Source organism: Homo sapiens, chromosome 9 (assembly GCF_000001405.40).
Source record: "Homo sapiens chromosome 9, GRCh38.p14 Primary Assembly".
NCBI classification, from domain to species: domain Eukaryota; kingdom Metazoa; phylum Chordata; class Mammalia; order Primates; family Hominidae; genus Homo; species Homo sapiens.
The window spans coordinates 23,654,268-23,674,826 of NC_000009.12; the positions used below are offsets into that span (position 1 = coordinate 23,654,268).

The 20,559-nt window shown below is 40.8% G+C and overlaps 1 long non-coding RNA gene across 1 annotated transcript in view; it reads right to left on the reverse strand.

Moving 5' to 3' along the window:
- Positions 1–18,132, reverse strand: part of LOC101929563 (uncharacterized) — a 171,709-nt gene extending 153,577 nt beyond the window's left edge. Inside the window, exons 1-5 of the long non-coding RNA NR_121602.1 lie at positions 18,022–18,132; positions 17,462–17,550; positions 11,998–12,241; positions 8,559–8,750; positions 5,152–5,410 (exon numbers count right to left, since the gene is read on the reverse strand). This is a non-coding gene — a long non-coding RNA (uncharacterized LOC101929563). The remainder of the gene's footprint in view (positions 1–5,151; positions 5,411–8,558; positions 8,751–11,997; positions 12,242–17,461; positions 17,551–18,021) is intronic.
- Positions 18,133–20,559: the final 2,427 nt, after the last annotated feature.

The following is a 20,559-nucleotide window of genomic DNA, read 5'->3' on the forward strand; positions in this document are numbered from 1 at the left end:
AAATAATTTCAATTACTTTAATGAAGGAATGTCACTTTTGATCTCCAAATCCTTCATCAAGAACAGAACAAATAAGCATCAGCAATGCTCCTATAAGTGTAGCCATGTAACATTAGACATGGTAGTTTTAAGAAATAAGAAGTAAAACCTTGGGCTTTGGAAGATAAAGATAGGGCTTTTAGATAGTAATTATTTAGAAGTTAAAGGGCATCTGCATCCAGGCAACAGCTTTTAGTTTGAACTTCATTTAGGCAGGGACTCTTACTACCTGAGAGAGTAGAATATAACTTCTCACACTACTGTAGGGAGGCTGAAGCATGGACAGGAAATCAGAGCAGAGGGCAGGCAGAGCTGCGATACAACACCAAGACAGCAATTTGCTGACAATCAGTGATGAGGTGCATGCATTTGTGAAGAAAACTGGATGCAAATCACTAGTGAGCAACTAAACAGACTCTGTACTTGAAGAAAATTTTGGCCACTTTCATTAGAAGAGACTGAGAAACCCATGCAAAGAAGGTAACAGATTCCAGGACAGACTTGAGGGGAGGAACAAAATAGTTCAGGACACACGGGACAATCAGCAGAACATCAAAGGGGCAAGTAGACTGGCCTGAAGGGAATGGTGTACCCCACCAGATCCTTTGTGAAAAACAGCTAAAAGTTAATACCACATCCCATACTCTGAACTGTGCAATTATTGTGAATATTCACATTTCAATACACAGGCCACATTTTCAACAATAATAGAGTAGGCATTGGCAAACCAGGGTGTCAGTCCAAATCTGGCTGCTAATTGTAAATGAAGTTTTTCTGGAGCACTGCCACACCCACTTGTTTATGTATTATCTGTCTGTTTCAGCACTATAAGAGAGCTGAGTAGTTACAACAGAGGCCAATGGCTTGCAAAGCCCAAGGAATTTACAATCTGGCTCTTTAGACAGAAAAGGGTTGCTGCCTCCTGACCTAGAGAGTATGGATTTAGTCATTCAATAAAACCTTTTGTTGTCTTTGAGAAACTTAAAGTTTTAGAACACGCTTCTACTACCTTTATTTTAAAGGCCCTATCTGTCCACCAATGTCAATATTCTTGTATCTGTAAGAAATTTAAAAAATTACAGAGTGAGTTAATGGAGGAAAGCTTCTGGGATGCTGGTCTTACTCTGTTCCTGATCTGGAGGCCCGGGACATGGGAATTTCCAGTGTGAAAACTCATCAAGCTATATACACTTATGTGCACTTTTCTGGGTTTTTGGGGTATATATGTATACTGTGCTTCAATAACATTTTTTTAAAAAGCATGTATTACCTCATCCCTTATAGAATTTCAATAGGCAGCATGTATCAACTACCTCTCACAGACTGGACTCCACACTAAGTACTGAAATGAAGATACATAAAGCGTACAGTTACAGAGCTCGGCAGAGTAGACGGTCAATATATATAAAAGCACACAAATAACTATATACTGTCAAGTATGTAAGCTGCAGGATTCAACTACAAGCTCGTAACAATCTAACTAAACTAGCTCAGGCAAAAGGGAAACTCATTGGCTCAGAGATTCCAAGCAAGTGTTATAGCAAACTGGGAACAGAGAAGCATCTAGGCCAGTGGTTCTCAAGTTAAGATGATTTTTGCCCCGCAGGGGATACTTGGTAATGTCTGAAGACAATTCTGGTTGTCACTACTGGGGGAGAGCTAGTGGCGTCTAGTGGTAAAGGCCAGGTATAGTGTTAGATACCCTACAATGCCCATGACAACCCCTGACAACAAAGAATAGTTTGGCTCAAAATGTCAACATTGCCGAGGTTGAGAAACCTTGATCTGAGTGTTACTATAAGTGTGGTCTGTCGAAACAGCAGCTTTTAGCAGCATCTTAAAGTAGATCAAAAATTCAGAATTGTGGCCCTACCCCAGATAATTTAAATCAGAATGTGCATAAGATCCCAGGTATCCCTTGAGCACATGAAGGTTTGAGAAGCAGGACCCTCAGCTCCTACCACATCTGGAGTCAGGTAATGACTTTGCCAGGCATGTTTCTCCCTGCGTGACTTCTCATCTCTTGCTGTAGATGAGATTTTGCCTCACGCAGGAATGTTGGCTGCTATAGGTTACTAAGATTCACGCCTCGTATCTCCCCCTCCATGCAAGCGGTGCTGACTTGCTTCTCAGGTGCTGAGTTTACCAAATTTTAGGTGGCTTTTATAGGTACCAAGGAAAATAATGGGGGTACTATAATAAATCTACCTGGATTTGGGATCAGGAAAGCCAACGCTGAAAAATTTAAGCTGATTTCTGAAAAACAACGACAGTTGGCAAGCAAATTAAGGCGTTTGTCAAATATTTACTAAGCACTTACTATGTTCCAGACGCTGTTCTGGACCTAGGAATGTATCAATGAAAAGGACAAAGCCCTGATCCTACCCTTGAGGAGTTTATATTCCACTGGGCAGAAGCAGACAAACACATAAACAAAGAGAAAGCACAATACAGTTGCAGAACCTGATAAATGCTGCCAGGGAGGGAAGCAGGCAAAGCATCTGGAGAATAAAGGATGATGTGACAGAACACCTAGGGCCCAAGGACAAATATGTTAGGAAGGACTCTCCAAATGACGTTAAGATTTGGACTGAGACCTGAAGAAGGAGTTAGCCAAGCAACCAGGAGAACGGTATTCTACAAAGACAGATCGGCACAGGAAAAGGCCCTGAGGAGTGAGAGCTCCACAAGCTCCAGCCTAAGGGCAGGGTTGAGGGGGTGGGGGCAGCAAAGAAGGGGAAAGCTGAAGGTGCAGGACGAGGGAAACAGGGTCCTAGCGGTTAGTTGTAAAACAGACCTTCAGCAGGAGAGTGCAGTGGTTCCAACTGAGGCGGCTCCTGGCTCTGGCTGCCTCAGTTTGAATCTGGGATTTGCCATTTATAAGAAGCGTGACAAGGCCAGGCACAGTGGCTCACATCTGTAATCCCAGCACTTTGTGAGGCCAAGGCAGGTGGATCACTTGAGGCAAGGAGTTCGAGACCAGCCTGGCCAACACGGTGAAACCCTGTCTCTATTAAAAATACAAAAATTAGCTGGGTGTGGTGGCGCATGCCTGTAGTCCCAGCTACTTGGGAGGCTGAGGCAGGAGAATCCCTTGAATCCCCAGGAGGCGGGGGTTGCAGTGAGCCAAGATTGTGCCACTGCACCCCAGCCTGGGCGGGCAACAGAGTGAGAACCTGCTTCAAAAAAAAAAAAAAAAAGTGTGACTATTTCTTAGGGTTGTGAAAATTATAAGTAAATGTCAAGACACCCTACAACAGGAGTCAGCCCAATCTGGCCCACTGCATGTCTTGTATGGCCTGTGACCTAAGGAAGTTTTCTGTTTACATTCTTAAATGGTTACGTTTTAAATGGGCGTATAAGTACCTACTTCATACCCTTGATTCTGCCCCTTAACTCCACAAAGCCTAAAATATTGACTATGTGGCCCTTTACAATAAAGTCTGCCATAGCCAAGCCTGTACACGGTAGGTGCTCAGGACGTGAGGGCCAACACTGCCAGCTACCATGTCAACGGATATGACTCCCTGGCCAGGCATTACCTGAGGCTTTTTACATTATACTTCCCCAAATAACCATTATCCTAATTTATAGTTAAAATGCAAGCAAGTAACATGGAACATAGAATTTTAATTCTAGAATTAAAACCCAGGTCACTATGTCCCAAAAACCCATGATCTTTCAGTCTCTCATGAAAATCACACAGTTAAGCCCTCTATTAATTCGTCCTCCAAGCTAGGTATTGTTATCCCCTGTGTATCTGATGCCATTATAGCTTTTGATAGCTGAGATAGTGTAAGTAGGACCCAGGCTTTCACTTCTGAAGCCACTTTTGAAGCCAGAAATGGGAGGTTTCCCAGTGCAGCTCTTAACGTTGGCGCATGCAAAGATTCTCTCTTGGGCTCAGTGAAAGACAGTCAAGATGAAACTGAATGAATTTGTATCACAGTGCTCATTGTATGACCAAAGCAAAGAGAGGATTGGGGATAAGAAAAGGGTGTAGCTGATATTGAGGGTGGTACTTAAACCAATTTACTGTCCCTCTTTTTGCTTTTATTCCCCCAATATTCTCTAGTAAATGTTACTTTGGTAATAAGAGAAAATACTTATTTTTATAAAGAAAGAAAGCAGAAATAATCAGCCTTACCCAGAGTAGCTACATTGTACTTTTTAAAGACAGCACTATTTTGACAGCCAAAAAAGACACTTAGGAATACAGCATTACAAATTCAAGATCATGTCTATGAACTTGGCTTGAAAAAAAAACCCTCCGCTAAAATACAACCTACCATCTGTACAATGTATTCAAAAATGATTAGCATAGTATGAAAAAATAATGCTGGAACAGCAGATTTTTTTTTTTCCATTTTTTAAGAACGCTTCCTGCTCGGTATTATTTTCAGATTCCTCCATGAGGTATAAGCAAAGGCAAAATGGAATCTCAGGTCAAGAAGATGGAAACAGAAAGTAAACAGAGACAAAAAAGGAACATTAAATACTCTTTACTGAAGATGTGACACTGCTCTAGAAATTTCACTGAGCCCAAGAGAGAATCTTTGCATGCGCCAACGTCAAGAGCTGCACTGGGAAACCTCCCATTTCTGGCTTCAAAAGTGAAAGCCTGGGTCCTACTTACACTATCTCAGCTATCAAAAGCTATAATGGCATTTCTCTGACAGCAGGACTCTCACACTCTCATGTCACTAAAAGTGAATCAGCAGAGCTTGCAGATGCATGGAGCCCAGAAAGGCACCTCTCAGAAGAGGGTGTGGAGAGCGCCGGGGCAGCGTGGAGCACGATGATGGCCACAGACAGCAGTATCTTGCCCTGACTTTCTCACTAACCAGGGTGCCTTTTTGCAGAATCTCTCGACTCCTGAAATCCTTACTAAAAATAAGGGAGTTAGGCTGAGAAGCCCTGTCTAAAAGCCATTCTATGCTTCTGTGATCTTAAATCATGAGGTCATTTTCACGTTTGTGTAAATACATCCTAACAAAGTGAAACCCCTACAGTATGTTTTGGGAAATTGTATCCAACAATAAATGTTCAGAATTTTTCCCCAAATGAACAAAAAATTGAGTATCAAATTTATACCTATTAGAGAATATTTACCACATTGGCAGAGTGCCTCAAAGGACTTAGGAATGTTCTATTTGCATCTGAAAGGCAGGTTGCATGAGTTTTGCTCCTATCTCGTCAGTCAGCACTAGAGGATGCCTGGGGATGGGCTTCTGCTTGTAAGAAAACTTGTCCACACAAGAGGTGATCAAGAGAGTGACCTCCAGCTGCCTACCGCATACAGATGCTTGGTGCCTGACACAGAACTTCATCTCCAGGGCCTGAAGAGCTGAATCAAGCCAGGAGACAATCCCTGGAGAATTTAAATAAAAAAAAAAAGGTGAGGTATGAGCTACTGCCAGCACTGCTTTCCTTACTTCCTTCTCATACTCTGCCCCTCTACTCTCAGGGTACACAAGCCCTCAAACTTGTTTTCCCTCCAACAGGGCCCAGGTGGTACCTTCCAAGACAGAGGAAACCTGTGGAAACCCTAGCATAATAGGAGGCTTTGTTCATGATCATTGCCGATCACCTCTACACTATCTGCAATTTTAGAAAACGCCTTAATTGGCTGCTGGCAAGGTCAAGGCTCTAAGGCTGGCAAACAAAGTGCTCGTTTAATAAGTTGGCTTTCTTCGCTCTACAGAGAAAAGACAGATAAATTCACACGTGGGACAGCATCCTTGCCAAGAGGTATCTAAGGGTTAGATGTGCTGGACATGTAAACACTAGCATGTTTTTCCATAGAGTGCTAAATAAACTAGCACAGAGGTCAGCAAACTTTCTCTGTAAAGGACCAGATGATAAATATTTTAGGTTTTGTGGGCCATATGGTCTCTGTCACAACTACTCCACTCTGCTGTTCTAGGGCAAAAGCAGTTATAGAAAATACATAAATGAATGAGCATGGCTGTGTTCCCATAAAAGTATTTATGGACACTGAAATTTGAATTTCATGTAATTTTTGCAGGTCAAAAAATACTCTTGATTTTTCTCAACCATTTAAAAACATAAAGATAATTCTTAGCTCGAAGGCCATATAAAAACAGGAGTCTGTAGTTTGATGACTCCTGACTGAGAGGATGAGACAACTCATATTCTGCATCTTACCACAGAAAATGCAAAGTGCAGAGTCTTTCTTCACAAGCTCGGTTATACTCAATTTATCCCTTTCCCTTCCCAAATCCAATCCTCCAAAATATTCCTCCAATGGGGTCCACTGTCTCCATTTCCTTTGTCTCTGCTCCCATCATCTCTCCCATGGCCTCCACCTCATCTGGACAATAATCTTACCTTCAAAGCAGTCACCACCCACCAGAGTGAAGGGCTTTGAAGAGAAATCATCACTCCTTAAACTCCTTCAATAGTCAACAGCCCACCCCCCAAATATAATCAGAATCAACTCTATAATCTGTGCCAAGCCTTGCAAGGCCCTGCCTCTCTAACTTTGTAATCCTCTCCTTGTCTTTGACTCTATGTGATGGTTCACTGTATGTGTCAACTTGACTGCCTTAAGAGATGCCCAGATATTTGGTAAAACATTATTCTGAATGTGTCTATGAGGGTGTTTCTGGATGAGACTAACATTTGAATCAGCAGACTGAGTAAAGCAGATTGCCCTCTGTGTTAGTCAGGGCTTTCCAGAGAAAGAGAACCAGTAAGATGGAGATTATACATATAAAATATGTGTATGTCTGTAATGAGATAAGGAATGGGCTCACATGATTACAGAGGCTAACAAGTCCCACAAGTGGTGCAAATGACAATCTGAAGGCCTGAAACCCAGGGGTGCTAATGCTGTAAGTCCCAGTACAAGGAAAGAAGACTAATGTCTCCACTCAAGCAGTCAGATTAATGTTCTTGTGCCATTTTGTTCCAGTCAGGCCATCAGTGGGTTGGATGATACCCACCCTACAATGGGGAGGGTAATTTGCTCTCAGTCCAATTACAATGACAATCTCTTCCAGAAACAGCCTCACAGATACACCCAGAAATAATGTTTAACTAGGTATCTGGGCATCTCTTACATTAGCCCAACTGACACATAAAACTAACCAATACACACTCCCTAATGTGGATGAGCCCATCAGTTGAAGCCCTGAATAGAACACAAAGGTTGGCCCTCTAGTCAACAGGAGAAAACTCCTTCTGCCTGACTCCGCCTGCCTGACTGCCTTTGAACTACGACATTGACTTTTTCCTCCCTTCAGACATGAACATTGGCTCCTTCTGGGTCTCAAGCTCTCATGCTTCTCAAGCCTTTGGACTCATATTATTAATACACCATTGGCTGTCCGGGGTCTGGAGCTTGCAGACTCACCTTGCAGATCTTGAGATTTGCCCACCTCCATAATCGTGTGAACCAATTCCTTATAATAAAGTCCTTTATACATAAAAACACAAAAATGTTTTATATATATGGTATATATCTAGATAGATATGTATCTCCTATTGGTTCTATTTCTCTGTGTAACCCTAACACAACCATGAACTGTCACATCATTTTTCTCAAACTTCTTCAAACACATTAGGGCCTTTGTATGTTTCCTTTTTCACAAATGTTTATTACTATGTTGTTACCTTCTCATTCAAGTCTCAATTTCAATATCTCCTGCCCTAATATTCTTTGAAAAATGGCTTCCTCTCACCCTTCACCAATGATTCTCTACCTCAGCCTCTTATTTTTGTTCCCTTCAAAACCCTTATCAAATCTATAATTATTTTTATTACTTACTCATGCCTGTCTTCCCTGAATGGAAGGTAACCTTCATGAGGGTAGGCACCACATCTGTGTTATTCACTGTATCCTGGAGCCCTAGGGCAGAGCCTGTCACAGCAACTTTTAATCAATGTTGCAGAATAAAGAATAGCCCAGAGTTTACAGTCCCTGTCCTCTTCTTTGGAACTTCCATCCACTTTATCAGATAATGACCTTTGCATGAACAAGATGATGCTGGTGATGATAAAGACCCCCCTGTACCCTCCCCCAGTAAAGTGATGCTTGCTCCCCTATACCACTGTGAAGTCCTCTGCCATCTTTATGCTATTCTTACTCTCTGGACTCATCACTGAAATGAGGACTTACTCTCACAGGGGCTGTGCCTTACTACTTAACTGGGTATTCACACTGGTGATTCAGGTTAACAGTTAAGTCACCACCTCATGTGACGCACAGCAGGGACTTTTCCCCACCACCAACACCAGGCTACATGCAGCTTGAAGCTCTGGGTACTATGATAAGTCTCATGGGTTTGCTCAATGAACTGACTTATCCATTCCAGTTCCTCTGCGGCACCTAAATCAGAATAACCCTGGGTAACAATGGTGGATCAGTGGTGGGGATAAACATTAATGGGTACAACCTTTAACAAGAGTCTATGCTTAGAAATGGAGGATTTGAGGGCTAATCGGCTTCACCTTTCCCTAATAAAAATTATTTTTGTACTATTATTCATAGCTACCTTTGGCTGGTTCCACCCAATCAGTGCTTGCTATCTGTTCCTCACACTGGACCCATGAGGAGAGCTCTTATTTCCACATAGCACGGAAAGCAAAGTGAAAGCAGGACAGGAATTCACTGATTGGTCTGTGGTCAGTTCGTGAAGCTGATGAGCTTCTCACTGCTGTTGTTCCACTGGTGCTCTGATTCTCTCCTGCTTCACAAAAGGCAACAGGAGGAACATCTTTAACTCAGGTAGAACAATCTGATCTTGGTGCATGCCACCACCTAATTGAAGATAAAATAACCTGTCAGCACTAGTTACGTGAATTTGTCTCTATATACCTCAAAGTCCCCAAATGAGGCCAATCACAGTTATCTGAAACCTGCCAGCAAGCCAGGGAACTGGGTCCTGGGAAATCTTTCTTGACTATATCTGCTGTATCACAGGAAACTATGTAGAACCTTAAAAGATCTTCAGACTGTATATGCCTGGGATGATACTCTGCTCACCCAGTTCCTGACTGCATAAAATGTGACTGGAGTGTGAACTATGTTCATTTCCTGTACAACAGTTTTTCTTACCAAGTAAAAAGTCCCCTCATACCTGCTCTACTGAAAAAGGCTTAATCCTTTTCACTTCGCCAATGTGAATTTCATGCTGTAATGGGCCAAGTTTTGGAAAAACAAAGCAGTTGTTTTATACCTGCCCAACTTTCTGTTCACACAGGTGAACAGGACTATCAGTGGTGAAATCTCGCCAACATCTCTCGTAAAAGATCCTTGATTTAACAATGACTGACATCTGCGCACTTTCCCGTTGACTATAATTCTCTTCACAAGGCCACACCTTGCGGAACAAACTTTAAAAGAGCAACCAGTGCTAAACTGCAGGCATTCTTCTTTCCTAGCTCCAGACATCCCTATCTAGGCTGTTTATTTTTCAGCTTTCTAATATAATGTTGGGTTGATATGTCTGTCATATGACAGCAAGAAAACCAATTACATGAGTCACGCTCTAAAGTGATCAAATGCTGGCCAGTGAAGCCACAGCTGCTTTTGATTCATTAGAAATACATTTTCCAGCCCTGCATTTTTACCAGGCAATGTAGTTCAGCTGGTATTGCAGTTTTTATATAATACTTCTTTATTTGATTCAAAGTACATATTTGTAAGATATTGCTAAAAAGTCACAAAGGGAAGGAGGGCATTAATTGTGCATCTCCTAAAGCTTTATTTCCACAATATGTGGTAAGTGCTAGAAATGAAGAAATGTCTCAATTTGCCTGAAAACCTCCAACATGGCTTTCTAATAAGTAAGACTACAGGGTAAATGCATTCCTCAGCATTTGACTAGTGAAGACTCCCACAGCTGCTAAGATTAGGTTTCTAGCAGGACTTCCCACTCTCTCCTCAATTGCATGAGTGAAAAATACAATGGTCTCAGCTTGATTCCAACTATACTTTATTTCCTGAACTGACACTTTGGTTTTCTTTAGGATAGAGCTGTTTAGAGTCAATTGTAGCAATAAAAAATAATGACAACGTCATGAATATTCTTACTGAAAAGCTGCTGCACCTTGTTTAGGCACTGAATATACTGTCAGTCTGTTCAAAAATAGAGGATCACAACAGCTGACTGATGTAGCAAGAAATGTCTATCTTAACAATCAGAAAAGGTGGTCATTTTCCAAAGTGAATTCATCATGTGGATAGTAAAAAAAAAAAAAAAAAAAAAAAAAAAAAAATTCTATGACCAAATAAGTACACGGTGTAGAGTTAAATAAAAGTTAAATGGGTTACTTTTCCACATTTCTGAGCTTTTAATACTCTGACATGTATTATGAATTTAAAATAATTTCTTATTGAATTTTTCTTATAAAGTGCAACAGTTTGTAGGGCTAGTCTTCCACAGAGCTTTTTGAATCTTCGGAATAGGCCACTTAAAAGTGTCTGAAATATTTTACTGTCTTTCCTACCTCTCTCTGACACTCATACACACACTATTCCACCTATCATATGGATATTTTATATAATGCCATGTATTTTATATGCTTCTATGTATATTACAACATAGTAAAGCACAATGAGCATGTTTCACAATGCTTTTTGGCATAATTACTATGTTTCCTACCTGGATGATATTTCAGGCAATTCTGGTAAGGGCCTTTTTCTTCAAAACACAAGGTGATTTAACCAAAGCATGAGTGAACAAAAAGAGGGGATACACAGAAGTGTGATTGCCACATCTGTTAGCAGTGCATTTGGTAAGCCTTCCCCTGTCACTATATATATTCAGAAATAATGACAAAAAAATGTAGTTCCTCTGGGCAAATGAAACGGAGGTGCAAATTAGAATCACACCTCCAGTCTCATTTTGGTATCACTTCTTGTCTGGATAAACAACACTTACTCTCACTCTCCTACTCATGGCAAGTAGCCACTGTTAACACTTGCATTAGGGATCAGTCACAACAAATTACAGTTAAGTTTCACACCACACTGCAGGAGGCAGCCTGGGCCCAGGAGAGCATAAGAGCAAAGCTGGGCCGCAGGACCAATTTTGAGAAAACTAGCGTTGGGGCTGAAAAGGCCCCTGTGCCTCAGCCACATGAAGTGGTTAAAATTCTAATACTCTAAGTGGTATCTTAATATTTCTGTGTGTAGTGATTCATTATTCTCTGTGGAGAGTAATAGTAGGTAGCTGCTTGCAAAAAGGGTGATTTTGATCACCAATCACTTTCAAGAACACAAGAGATCAGTGGTACTCAACTGTGAAAGCTTCATTATAATGGGAAACTGCCTGTGTGGATTAAAAACACAAACAGATTTCACTTCAAGATGATTGTGTGAGATGCTAAATTTCCATGATGTGAAAAGTATCTACAGACTATGAGCCACATAAAAGTATCCATGGGGAAGATGAGAAAAATCAGGACTAGAGACCCAGTTCATACATGAATTTTCCCTACCTACTTGTGGGGCAGAAGATAAAAGGAGCTTTGTAAGCTGTAAGTTGGCTAGTTTATTGTTTATCCAAGTAGGGCAAAGTCCACTTTTTTGAGTGAAATACAAAGGTGAAATCTGAATAAGAGTTTATAGAATGCATACAATTAATCTCCACTAAATAACAAGAAGTAAAATAAAATCATAAACCTTTAAGAAACAGGGAGGGGCATGGTGGCTCGTGCCTGTAATCCCAGTGCTTTGGGAAGCCGAGGTAGGAGGATTGCTTGAGCACCCAGGAGTTCAAGGCTGCAATGAGCTATGATCATGCCACTGCAACCCAGCACCCCAGCTTGGATGACAGAGCAAGACCTCGTCTTTTTTTTTTTTTTTTTTTTTTTAAAGATTCAGCATAAATGTGAGAAATAAGTAGAGCTAAACAGTCTTTAAGTGAAGCAAATACACATGAATTCATTCACTATCAGACTTGCTCCTTTTGGAGGCATATTACTTACTAGGGCACCTCTACGAAGTTTTCTGAGGGATCCTGACATCTCAAGATGAGGGAGAAATCAGGGTGCTTTGTGATACTGAGCCAGGTGGTCTTCTGAGATCGGGGAACAGGATTTGTTTGATAATTTAGTAAATTAAGGTGGGAGGTATTTTTTAATGTCCTTCAACACCAAGTAAAACATGATTGGGTTTATGATGATTGTAGTTCTCTTTTCCATAAACTTCTTGTTGATATGATTTAGGTATCTGCCAGCACCTCCAGAAGTAGAGAAAAATCATTAGAATGTATCATTTCCATGTCCCCTCATCCATACACTCTGGGACATCCATTAGTATAGGTGTCCTTTGTGATTTATGAGAAATTCTTATGGGAAGGGCTCCTTGTAACCCAATATCCACACATTGCTATTATAATAACTCTCAATAATGGCATCTGTCATGTGCCAAACATGACACTAAGTACTGGATATGCATCATTATCTACCCCTTCACAACAAATTTCTAAGGTAGGTTTTATCATGTTCATTTTACAAATGAGCAAGTTGAGGCTCAAAGATGTAAATTAAGTTGTTCCAGGTAACAGTGCCAAGAAGTAAACAGGACAGATTTAATCCTGGGTGGTTTAATTCTAATAAACATCTGTGCATGCTTTTATTGAGAAACTACTAGGTATAATGAGAAAAACAGGCACAAATAATCAAGACATATGTGGTCAACGTGTCAGAAGTGTGACCCACTAACCATGATACAGGCACTACAACAGATTTTAGACCAACAGGGAAGGATTCAGAAGGTGGTATTTGAAGTAAAGCTTGGCGGAGAGAAAAAGGTTCCCTTTTCTCATTAAAATCCTACTCTCCCTTCCAGATTCATCAGGGATTCCTAAGTGCAAAAAGGACATTTATGATGAAGAAAAAAATGTAACGGGGTGGAAAATGAAGCTCACATTTATGACACGCAAACTGCCTAGGTTGGCTGAGGTTAAGCATGTGAAAGGAACCGTGTAAGGTAAAACTAGAAAGACGAGATTGAGCTAGTTTTGCAAGCAAGAATTCTTTGGAATTGTATTAAACCTTTTCGACATCACTGACAAACTCCATCAACATCTATACTTGCATTTTCTTGCAAGTCTCTTCATTCCAGTTCCATAGGCATTTTCCTTTCCTCTTACTTGGCTTACTCCAAAGTCACTTAATATCCTAGTCCTCTTCCATCTCTCGAGTTTTCCTTCAAATACAGCTCAAACTAAGTCACTACTCCTCATCTGCAAACCTGCCCTGACATTGAACATTCATGCACCTCTAACTTGGTCCCACGCCTTCTCTACCAAGTTCTGGCTCCTATTCATATCTGTGAGCCTTGCCTCTCACTATTCCCTGCCTTGTCCCTAACTCTAGTTAAAAGAACTACTGGAAAGTTCTTAACTCTCATATATTCTTTCTTACCTCTGAGCCTTTACACAGGACCACCTCTGCACATGGCATGCCTCTCCTTGCTCTTCACATGTGCCCAGCTAATTCCCCCTTATCTCTGAGTATCAGTTGATACGTTACGTCTGTCAGGAAGATATGTCTTGTCTCTCCTCACATCTAAGGTGAGCTCCTTTGCTTTCTACACACCCTGATCTACTCATACTCACCATTCAGTATTGCAAATGCTTTTCTACTTGTCTTTCTCACTTATTATCTTAAGCAGCTACTGAGCTACTGAGCGTCATTAAATCCTGCAATCTCACACATGAAAAAATGAACTATTTTCCATAACAGGCCAATACTACTGAATTCACTCATATATTACTCATTTTTCACAACTCTTCTTCAAATTCTGAAGAAAAATACTAAAGATGAAAACTGTATCTTCACATAATTTTTTCCCCTCTCTTCCATTTATTTCCTCTTCTTAGAGATACCTACACCTTAGATATTGGCCCCTTCGAGGGCTTAATAAACATCCATCAGTATGAGAGTGCAATAAGTGAGTCAACTTAATATACAAATAAGTACGACGAGCGACTGCTCCATGGACCATTTTCATGAGACTATTACATAAATTTCATTAACCTCAGTTGGTACCGAGAAGCACACAGTCCACTGGACTAATATGGGAGAAAATAAGTCAGTATTCATCCCTCTATGTCACTGCATTTCCTCACATTCTCTGTTATTCATTCAGTCTTCTCTGTTGTTTGAGACTAAATTCTCCCAGTGAAGACAAGCTCTCGAGTGTGTTTGATGCTTCCACATATCTCCAACAATGAGAGGTTTAAGTGGGGACGCAACTAGTCACCCAGTTGTTGACTCATCCAATCAAAGAAAATTAACTGATAAAACATTTATAATGTTAATATTGCCCTCCAATCACCTGGTAAAGAGGTTAGTGCCTCTCCCTGCCACATATTCCTGAACACAAATCCAAAGGCAAATACTAGACATATCAAACAAGGCATGCGCCTCTTTAAACTGGGCAGATAAAAGCAGAACTTTCAGGTGGGCACAATTAGCACCCTCCCAAGGGAGAATAGAGAGAGGGGAAATGATGCAAAATAATGCAGAAACACTTAACTGGTATTCACATTCTAGCTTGCAAACAATTTCTAATTCACTTGCCTAGACAGTTAACCATCAGTCTGGATGTAAAGAATTCAAACTCAACCAAGAAACAGGAAGCATAAGTTCTGTCACAAGTGTGTTTATTTTGGTGGCTCACATCTGCAGCTTTTTCCCCCTCAATGTATTTTTTTCAGAGCCAAACGAGGAAGGGAACAAAGTTACTGGGCCTAAATCCATCACTGTGATTGTGATATGCTGAACCACCCACAGCATCATGAGAAGGAAGCTATTAGTTTCATGCTGAAGAACTCCAACCCACATAGGGGCAGAATCTAGAAGTAAAGGAACAGTCTATTCAGCATGATTAACTTTATTCAGTACACCCAACAATGTCTAAGAACTGATCTAGTCACACTCGATTTAAAAGCAGCATTATCTAAGGGGATGTGTTCCGATGGATGTTCCAAGGTACCTGGTGTTCCACTGGGAGTCCAGCATCAGCATGAGATCTTTTGGTGTCATCTTGCGTTGATAACGTTACTGCTAAATCACTACAACTGCGAATAGAGACTGAACACTGTGTAGGTGCAGGGCTAAACTATCTTAAACCAAACTTACAAAACCAAAGGGTGCAGACTTCACAACAGCAGCCTTGTCAACTGCATCGCATGAATCCAAATCCTTGGATGGGAAAATCTCCTATACAGATTGAGTTCTTGTAATCCAGAGAAAGGGTCAGCAAACTACGGCCTGCAGGCCAATTCCTGCCAGCCACTTTTTTTGTAAATAAAGTTTTACTGGAACACAGCCACAATAACTCATTTAAATATTATCTACTGCTGCTTTTGTGCTACAGTGGAAGAGCTGGGTAGTTGTATAGAGATCATATGGTCCGCAAAGCTTAAAATATTACCTGGCTCTTTACAGAAAAATTTTGCCAATCCCTGGTCTAGAATGGTGGAGCATTCACTAATTCTTGCTCTGCAAAACCTGGTTCTAGGTCAAAATTATTTTGTCTTGATGCTGTAATTCCTCACTGAAGATCCTAGTACTTAAGGCCTTGGGTTGGCCCACAGACATCCCAACCCTCTGCTTGGAAACACTATAGGAACAGGTCCAGGTGGCAACCCTGCAAATCTGAACAGATGCCTATTTTTCTTCTGCCCATGAGACAGATGGTCCTCAGAGAGGGGGAGAAGAATTAGTCCATGAGAGAGAATTCTCTGTGCAGCACTAATTTTGGAAATGTATCCCTGATCCATCTGGCCAAAGAGGATTCCTTAGGAGTACCTTTGCTATTCGGGTTTGCTGAACATTCAGGAGGGGAATCCTAAGCTCCAAGGCTAGAACCTCAGGTATTTGCTCTCTATCAAAATGTTAAGTAAAGCCCTTTAGACAAGAAGTCTCAAATAATTATGACAGAAGATGATTATAAGGATGAAGACAAGGATAGCTGACTACTCATTCAGGGACTCCTTTTCAGAGAATTTCTTCAATTTCCCTTGGCAGTAAATTTTCCCTTAGATGAAAAAGATAATACCCTGATATTCTGCTATGTACAGAAAGCAGGAAGAACAATACTTTCTGAACTGCTAACAAGAGTAGCTCTCCTCTAGATATAACAATGTTTCTCCTTCTCATTAACCACCTTAACTCATCTTTGATATTCAGACCTTGTTATTCTAAAGAATATTTCCCCGCGGAACAAACCATAAATTTGCAAAGTTAATTAGGACTCTGATCTTAACGCATTTCCCCCCATTTCATTCCTAACGCTCTGCCGGGGGTGTCCAAGGGAGAGGAATACAGCCGTGGGTTCTTGGTTTCTGTTTCTGGTTGAGCCAATAAAGCCTCTTCCTCATCCCTCTTTTCCGCTTATCACTAGAGACATAATAGAAAAACTATATAAAAATAGAAGGAATGTCTTAAACTCCTTTTCCCTTTTATAATTAGTTGGCAGAGAGACATTTAAAGTGTGCATATACTTCAGGAAGACACCATATAAATATGATTTTTATCTAGGTATGACATGGCTTCAGGCTGCTAAAAGCCTAAAACAAAACAAAGCAAAACAAAACAAAACAGAAACAACAACAAAAACAAAATAAGGCGGGTTGGACAAGATTGCTAGTATAGCAGGAGTGTCCAGTATTTTGGCTTCCCTGGGCCACACTGGAAGAAGAAGAATTGTCTTGCGTTACAATAAAATATACTAACACTAATGATAGCTAATGAGCTTAAAAAAAAAAAATCGCGCAAAAAAAAAAAAAAAATCTCACGTTTTAAGAATGTTTATGGATTTGTGTTGGGCTGCATTCAAAGCCATCCTGGGCTGCAAGCGGCCCCACAGGTTGGACAAGCTCGCCGTAGAGGGTTGGTTCTGTTCAGCTCCAGGTAGGAAAGAGACAATATTAAGATCAGACATAAGGGGAAAGTTAGGCAACTAGAAGTAGAGGCATTAAGAAAAGCAACTGCTAACAGATTCTGATCATTCAATCTTAGCCAACAGGCTTTTGAAGTATGATGGACTTGGGTGTAAGTGAAAGAGTTGAGTAGTTGTATAGAGAACATACGGAACTACCACTTACTACCTGGATAATCTCAGAGTCCTCATCTATAAAACAAAATAATAACGTAGTTACTGGTGCTGTTATTGTGAGGATTGAATGAAAAATGCATATAAGTCATTTAATAGTGCCTGAGTCACAACATAGTAAGTCCTTAATAGGTACCTAACAATCATTACTGAGCAAAGTTCCTGCTAAAAGAATAGTTGCTGTTAGAAGCAGAAACAAAGGTGGAGCACAGAAGAAGTCACAAGGGAAAAATATCTTTCTTGATTTTCTTCTGAGTCATATACTTGGAGAAAAAGGAAAATTCTTAGTGCTTTTGGTCCCAAAACCCTGTGTAGCGTTACCTGTGAGCCTGACAAGATCCTTCATCCAGTTTCAACATCAAGGGGAAAGAAGATGCTGCTTCACATAATGCAGGTCTCTGCAGACGATGCTGTGCCACAGGAATCAATCAAGAAATAGTTACATCCCCAGCATTGCTCCGTGGGTTGTAAAATAAATGTTTCTTAGACAAAGAAAGTATAAGTAGCTGAAACATTAGGAAAATAATATCACTGATCCTAACACGGTGAAGTACTTGGCTTAAATTCAGCCTTACAAGGTTTTCTTAAGAATATACTATTGGTTTACAAAATTTAACTCAGTATTTTTCTAAAATTGTAACACCTTCTACGTGAGGTCCCCAGACACAGGCACAAGTTGTAGGAACAGAGACCATGGCAAATAATAAACCAGGAAAACCAGAGTTGACTTCATGATAACCAGGGTGGGAACAAAATTGACATAGGTCTCTATAAATGAAAACCAATACTTGATTTGTAACTAGAAGCAAATGGGCACCCAGGACAGACAACACAACACAGCTGCGATGACTTCCAGCCACTGATAATCTCATAAAGCTCACCTCCGTGGCAACTCCCTGAAAGCAAATCAAGATCAACCCCGCTCCTCTCGGCAGATGCTTCTTTTTCCAAGTTCCATGGGTTTAGGTTACATCTGAGCTCACTTTCACGCATGTTGCGAGCTAATTACAAAGAATCCAGAAATGTGGGAACAAACTGGGAATACTGTAGGCTGTTTCAGCAAACCTTAGCACCATCTGCTGAAATATTAAGATGCTTGTTTAAAAAGTTGGCTGTCAGAGAAGGAGGTCACAGCACAGACAGTGGGGAAGTTCTCTTAAATAACTACTTCTTACTTCTCTTTCCTGTATACAAGCTGTAGGGCACTGAGCCAAAGGTGAACCGTCCAGAGAAAGAAGACCGTATCTGCTAACTTCTCCTGGTCCACGTGCCAGCAGGAGAGAACCTAGAGCATGCTGGTCATCAAAAGAGAAGAGATACGGTCAAAAGACTGTAGCATGTTTGTGCATTTCAGTGAGCAACAACAGTCATTTGGGAAAACAGAATGGAACGTCTTAAACTCCTTTTCCCTTTTATAATTAGTTGGCAGAGAGACATTTAAAGTGGGCATACACTTAAGGAAGACAGCATATAAATATGATTTTATCCAGGTATGACAATCCCTTAGTAATCTGAGACTTGTGAGATTTGGGGATTCCCTTTGTAGGTTAGATGTTTCTCTCAGAAACAGAGCAGCTGAAAAGAGCCTCAGGTGTGTAGACAGTGATCAAGTCAATGGTTAGAGTTCCAACGGGCTTAGGGAAAACAAAAGAAAGCCTTGCATCATTTAATGTGTTGAAAGGCCCCAACAGAATCACATATTAATAATAATAACAGCAGCAGCTAACATCTTTCGAGCATGTACCAAGCATTATGTTAATGGTTACATCTGTTATTTATTAAGTCTTCCAGCATTCTCAGGTAGGTACTGTTGTCTCATATTATAGAGGAAGAATAAAGATGCTTTCAGAAATTAAAGAACTTACAAGAGCTCATCAGTTTGGAACGGATAAAGCTGTTATTGAAGCTTAGCTGCTGACTCCAGGGACTAATTTCACTTGTAACTATGAAACTATATTGACCATGGACTGAGATTCATGTAAGGCCGCTCACACAAGGGAGTGTCATCATAAGGATATGAGTGGTAAAGTGGAAGACAAGGATAAGAGCCCAAAAACATGCTTCAGGGAGACAATAAGTGGAGCCAAAGTAACTAGAAGGATGCCAGGCAGCACAAGTTCATGGGTCTTCACTCCTGTGTATCACTATTACTGACACAGCTACTCTGCCTACCTGCTTTCCCTTCTATTAACTTGTTTCTGTTCTCTGTAACTGGTCCAAGTCACTCATTGTCTAGGCTACAGATTGGTTGTCGGCTGAGTTAGGTAGCAATGGTTCAATTAACTGAGGCCAGGTACAAGAGCAGGGGCCTCAAGGGCTGCTGAGGGCCCCAACTTCAGCTGAAGTTATGGGAAAGGCAGATACCTATGGAAGGAGCCATAAGAACAGTGGGCCCCATGCTGCTCATGTAGTACAGAAAGCAATTCTGCATCCATGTTTGTAATCTGCCTCACATTTTTTGGCTTTTACAGAGATTGTTTATATCCAAAAGGGCACACGGGATTACTTTTCAGTCCCAGCAGTCTATGTGTAGTGACTACATGGATACAATAGTATATACATACGTGAAGATCTTTCCTACTAATAAGTACAAAGAGTACTAACAAAGACAGGTTACTTATGGAAGGGTTTCCTCTTCCTTCTTCACTCTGTTTGTTTCAAAGTCCTGTTTATTAGAATTAAAAGGTGCATGGTCCTGATTTCCACTTACCAGGAGGCTGGTCATTTTTCATCATTACGTAGAGGGGTGGCTCCCAGTTTAGCTCAACCATCTGTCGTCCCTCGCAAGCCTGAGAGATTCACAGCAGGACCAGTAGAGTTTGCCAACCCTCTCAAGCAGGCTCTGAGGGCAGGGTTGACAAGTTACTTCCCAAGCCTGGGTGGACCAGACAGGAAGAACAGATCCATACATATGACTAGACAGAGCCAGACACGCAGGGATAATAGGTCATCATAAAAGCAAAGTTGGCCTCCAGAAAGAAGAAAACCCACCCTGCGACAATCACTATCAAAACCACAGGTATTCACACAGGATACTTCCATCGAACTCCAAATGTCTCTAGAGCAAAGAGGTTAAAAATGTTCTTGTGGTAAGTAAAACCTCCTTTTCATGCAAACAAAAATTAATCACATAAACATTACATGGTGACATAAGCCAAAAGATCAACAAAGCTTTACAGTAAGTAGGATCAATCCACTGAAAAGAATAATTAATGTTCAAATAAGCAGGGCATTCATTTTTTTTTCCCTAAGAAAATTAAACTCTGAAGATATGGGTTACTGAATATCATTAGATCAGAACCTAACTATTAACACACTTCATCCAGGTGGTGCTCAGCTCCACACAGCTTCCTGCTGGAGTCAGCTTAGAAAGGATGACGGGGGAGTGAAAGTAAAGGCGCAGTTTTCGGCCCTTTTTA